Here is a 5,601-nt window from a genome sequence, read left to right as displayed (position 1 = left end):
AGGAAGGTGAAGAGTTAAAGATGACAGTGATGTTCCCAACATCAGAGACTGGGTGCATGGGAAGAGATGGGGAAGAAGAGCTGGCATTTCCGGGAGGAAATGCTAAGTTTGTTGTTGGATTTCCTGAACTAGAGGTTCTCTTACAACAACCAGGTGGAAGTGTCAGACTGACAGAGTTGCCTGTCAGGAGCGTTTCAGAGAGCTCCAGGTTAGAGATATATATTGAGAAAAAGAGGGAATGAGATCAAGGTGAAAGTAGACAATGGAGTTCAAAGATTAATTGAAATAGATCATTTGCATTTTTCTTTTTCTTTTTGCTTCCTTTCTTTTTTTCTTTTTTTTGGCAGGCAGTTGCTAGGCCATTTGGGCATTCTTTTGTAGATTTGAATAAAACAGACAGAATGATAATGTTCACTTCTTCCCTTTTATTCTTTGGTAAGACAGAAAGATTCCTCTTATCTGTCTGCTTTTCCCTCTTAACTGTGAGCTTCCTAAGACTGTGTCTTTTCACCTTCAATGCTCAGAGAACAAGTGTAGTGATTTGTGCAAGGTGTATGAACTCCTGTAGGGTAGAGGCCTTACTCATTTATCTCCACTTTTCTAGTGTTTCAGATGGTGCCTAGACAATAGGAGACACTCAGTTAACAGACATTGAATTGTTTAATGTGTATAATACTTTGTAATTTAGTAAGTCCTCAAAGATACATTGTAACATTTAATCCTCACCTAATGCTGGGAACTGTTATTACCCCCATTTACAAATGAGTAAACTGAATCTGAAAGAGGTTAAGTAACATACTTGAAACAATACAGTTAGTAAGAGGCTGTATCAGTCATAATAGGCTAGGTTATGCTTAGTAACAAACTACCCTAAAAAGCTCAGTGGCTTAATAACATAAAAGTTAATTATTGTGCAAAGTCCATTGTGGGTTTGGAGAATTCCAGGCTTTTTCAATCTTATATTAACAAGTGCTTCCAGAGTTAATGCAGAAGAAAAAAGAGAACACAGAGAACCACACACTGGTTCTTAAATGCTTCTACTGGATAGTAAATCAGATTTCTTACACTCACACTTCATTTTGACTAAAGAAACCACATGGCCTGACCTAACTTCAAGGGAGAAGGGAAGGACCATTTCCCGATGTGCCTGGAAGGAGAACTGGAGTCATTGGGGAGTAATTCCATTGTCTATAACAAAAGTAGAACTGGATCTTGAACTTAGATTTTTTATTTCAAAGGTAGATCACATTTTATTCTTTGCCTCATGTTTTATTTTTTATTAAGCATATTCAGAAAACTATCTACATTAATGCAAGTTAAAATAATTAATATCCTAAAAAACAGTCATGCTCTCCACTCACTATTTTCTTCTGCTTTCTCTTGCCACAGGCCAACCTCTGTGCCACAGGCCACAGGCCAACCAAGGTCTCTTAACCTTGGGTCTTAGAGTATAATGGCTCAAAGAGACCCAATAACAGAGAGATACTGATTCCTTTCTCAGGGATAGAAACGGGTAGGGTTTAAATGCATAAAATAGTATTTGGGTAGAGGACCTCGAAATGCCAGATCTTGCTCTGCCAATTCAATTACTCCTCTTCCCTTTGAGGTTTCAAAGATGAGAAATATCCAAATGGTGAGAATTTGTCATTGACTGGGACAGTGTCTCCTATTCTCTTATAGTGCTCTCCAGCAAAAGATCTATTAGAGGACACACTAGGCTTCAGACCTCATGGGGTTTCCCACCTCTGTACAAGCCCAAATCCATATCATGGAATTCTATACCATATGTCTACTCTTATGGGGGCAGGAGCCATGACCAGCATGCTTATATGAAGAGAGGAACAATATAAGCAGGACTCTTAGGCAGTACAAATGGAGGGGACATTGGGATTAAGTGGGCCTGACAGGCAGACAGATATATACATGACCTATTTACACACAGGAAACTCTTTAACCACTCAGTTGAAGAGTTTTTTTTTTTTTTTTTCGCTCATTTTTTTTTACTGGCCCATTAAAAGTCTGAAAACTTGACCCATCAGAGCTGCACTAATAGCATCTTCTCCAACCAACCATATTTTACTCATCAGAACATTGGAGGCCCCTGGATGTTTGGGGTTCACTAGTTAGGAGTTGAGTTGTTTGACTCCAGCCCAGGATGGCTGCCCCTTTGATGCACAAATTTGGAAGGACTCTGAAGCAAAATAAAGGCTCCAGGGTCAATCAGAATGATAACAAAAGCTAACATTACTGAGATTTTTTTCATGTGCCAGGCCTTAGTGGAGTAGGACAGTGCACTTTCGTTATTCCACTAAGTGCTAAGGTTATTTTATTTAACCGCACAATATTATGGGATAGGTACTTTGAACAACTTTTTTTTTTCATCAATGAAGAGTATATAGTTCAAAAGGGAAGATATTTTTGGTCTCTTTTGCTGTGTACAGGTCTTTTGCCCAGACCTGTACTTGCTATATATTAGGTGCTCAGTTTATATCTATTGAATGAAAAAGCCCAAAGTCACTGAGCTGGTAGGCAGAGGAACACAGGCAGTCTGATTTCGAGGCTTTCTCTAGGGACCGTTACATGACATGACTTCATGTATAAGTTTGGCACTTATTAAATGTGAGGTGTAGTGTTTGCTAATCATTGCATCATCCCTCCCACCGTATTATGAGCACCTCCAGAGACAGAGATGATGCCGATCTCTCCTGCACTTCCCCTGCCCTTCAAAGCTGTGTAGACAGTAGGTGTGAATTACATGCTGATTGGTTGCTTGGCTGCAGAGTTATTTGCATACTCCGGGGAAGAGGGGGCAAAGGCAGCCACAAGTTTTGGCAGCTGGTTTTAACTTCCCTGAGGGGGGTTCCGTCTCTGCACATGCCTTCTTCAGGAGACCAAGACAGTGCACTTTCATTACTCCACTAGGGGGACCCAAATGCAAACAAAAAACCTCTCCTGCCCTCCTAAGGTAATGGGATCCCTGCAACAGCCCTCAGGAGGGGTCTGTCTGCAGGGCTCTGGCCAACCTCAGAGGGGAGCACCCACGTGTCCCTGCTGGGCTCCGGTTCTGCTTTCTCCTTGCCTGATGGCAGCTTTTACAATCAGGGCTTTTGGAGCAAATTCCACCCTTGTGGGGCCAGGACTGCTCAGTTCTTGGGATCTCTGCCGCTTCTGCTGGTGCTGACATATGGATTTGTCTTAGGAGCAGAAAAGATGAATTTTGAAGGGCTGCCAGGCTGGTGATGAGGCTGCTCTGGTTTCACATGGGAAGCCCTGAAATCAAGATCTAGTAAATGAAGGATACTTAATCTTTTCCAGCTCTCTTCTCCTCCACTCAACAGGGGGCCTTAACCACTTTGATATTTCAACAAGAGGCCATTCAAAGTTTAGTGCTTCCATTTCTGCAGCAAAAAGAACTGGTCCTCACAAGGGCAACCTCACTTGTTGAGACACGAAGGATCTATTTTGACACCTCACCTTACAGAGATGGATGTATTTGTGCAACATTGGGTAGTTTTATTTTATTATTACGCTTTAATATGGCACTGTGGAACACTTTTTCTTTTTTTCTTTGAACAGCTTGCAAGCATGCTGCAAGCATTTGGGAAAATTCTCAGTTTTATATTTTCTGTAATAAAATCTGATACAGTTATTTTTTCTTTTCTGTGATGTCTAATTAAATTGCTTGATTTAGTTTTTGTTGTAGAGGTTTTATTTCTTTTTAAGATCTGATATTTTCCTTGAGGAAGAATGCTATAGATGTTTTCAATGAAACGTATTTATTGTTCTGGGGTTTAAAGAAGTTTTAGGAATACTTATTTAGACCTGAAAGGTCCTGGCCGAGAGGGGTGCCATGATCTCTTTGCATTAAAGATGGAGCACAGGAGATGGATTGGCATTAAACCCAGGTGGGGCCAAATCGTTTTAGAGAATTTCAGCCCTAAAGGAGTCCTTAGAGATTTTCTCATTTAACACCGGCATTTGACAGGCAGCAAACCATGGTCCAGAGAGGTAATGACTTGCTTTGTCACAAAGCTGGCAAGTTGCAAAGCCCTAAGAGCATCTGGTCATCACTTGCCATTATCTCACAGATTTTTGGTGTGAACTGAGGGCAAAAATATTGCCTTGCTTCCCATGGCTTTTCATTTGAAATTAGTCTGTCAAGGAATAAGCATCTGAAGTAAAGGAAGTAAATCAGACAGGGAAAAGAGACAGAAGGCTTTGAGCATCGTGTGATAAAGATGACACATTCTAGTGACTCAGTGCCCTGTGACCTGCTGGGGATGCAAAAGGACCATAGTGAGTAGCTCTGTCCATGAGCACAAAAGGCCAGAAGCATCTCTGAAAAGTTGTGTCCAAGAACAGAGAGCACACTCAACAGTCTTGCTTCAACAATCATTTAATAAGACCCTTGGGTGGCTGACAGTGTGGAATGTTCTGGAGAATACCATCTGGCATTTGTATACATCTTTTATGTTGTCTAAGTGCCTTTCCTCACATCACGTCCTCATTCGATACCTTTGTGTCAGCCAGCATTCTTGGTGACCCTGGCTCATCTAAGTATCGAGAGATTTTTTGAACTATGCAGATGGGTCACACAATGGCAGGACCCAGAGCTCTCTGGGGCTGGGACGGGGGAGCGGGAATAAAGGGGTCGTCTCTTCAGGCTCTACCTTTGCCCTGCCTTGGTCCTGACTGTTCTCAATTTTGCATTTCCCTGTTCAGGAATCCGGGGTAAGGGTGTCAGATGGGCCCAGCCTGGGCACACTCCTTGGCCCAGAGACTATGGAGAAACCTTGATGAGAAGGCCCTTCCAAGCTGGGTAAAAAGCAAATTTTGTTGTTGACAGGAGAAGGGGGAATAAGCAACAGATGTTCCCTACATACCCTGTGAGGTGGGGCGTTAGGTGAAAGCATTACCTCCAAGGTACAAATGGGAAACCTGAGGCTCAGAGAGGTGAACTGACATGTCTAAGGTCACGCAGAGATATATAGCAGAGCACAGTTATGTCTATAGATCCTGCTTCTTACACCTAAAGGAGCAGGTGAATCTTGTATTCCGCCTAACCCTTTATCCTTCCTTACTGCTTGAATCACCTGCTTCTTACCCCTCCTCTGTAGCAGCCTCATTACCCCATCACCTGCCATCTCTGGACTGGGAAACATAGATTTTGACTCTACTCCTGGATCCCCAAATTTCCACTACTAACAAAGGATGCTTCTCACTGTGTGGTAATGGAAAAACGGTCAGTCCAGGTTGGCCTTCTGGACACTATGGAAGTCCTTTCTCACTTCTTGTTTCACTGATTAATCATTGTTGGGGATCTGGACCTTGTAGGAGGGAAGATCAGGACACTTAGGGAGTCATTTGTGAAGATCTCTTTGAGATGAGATTGCCTACAAGTGAGGCCTGGACATGGATTCATGGCCCCATCGCGGTAGCATTATTTAGAAATCAATGAACCTTTAGGGACAATGTTTCAAAAACACATGCTCTCTGTTGTCGTAGGAAAAAAGCCCATACTCCCTTGCCTAGCTCCGTGATGCCTCACTTCTGATGCCTGGAGTCATTGATGTTTATGGAAGGCTTCGGAGTCTGCACAGT

General features: G+C 42.5%; 1 annotated feature.

The window, feature by feature from the left end:
- Nucleotides 2,746–2,865: an enhancer, noted in NCBI's record as "active region_27851". NCBI's record gives its function as "activates an Ori minimal core promoter by ATAC-STARR-seq in GM12878 lymphoblastoid cells {active_cell/tissue: GM12878}" and the evidence as "EXISTENCE:reporter gene assay evidence [ECO:0000049][PMID:35858748]".

The sequence above is a fragment of the Homo sapiens genome, chromosome 8 (assembly GCF_000001405.40).
Source record: "Homo sapiens chromosome 8, GRCh38.p14 Primary Assembly".
Classification (NCBI taxonomy): domain Eukaryota; kingdom Metazoa; phylum Chordata; class Mammalia; order Primates; family Hominidae; genus Homo; species Homo sapiens.
The sequence above is the reverse complement of the archived record's forward strand: the minus strand, read 5'-3'. Positions and strand labels throughout refer to the sequence as shown.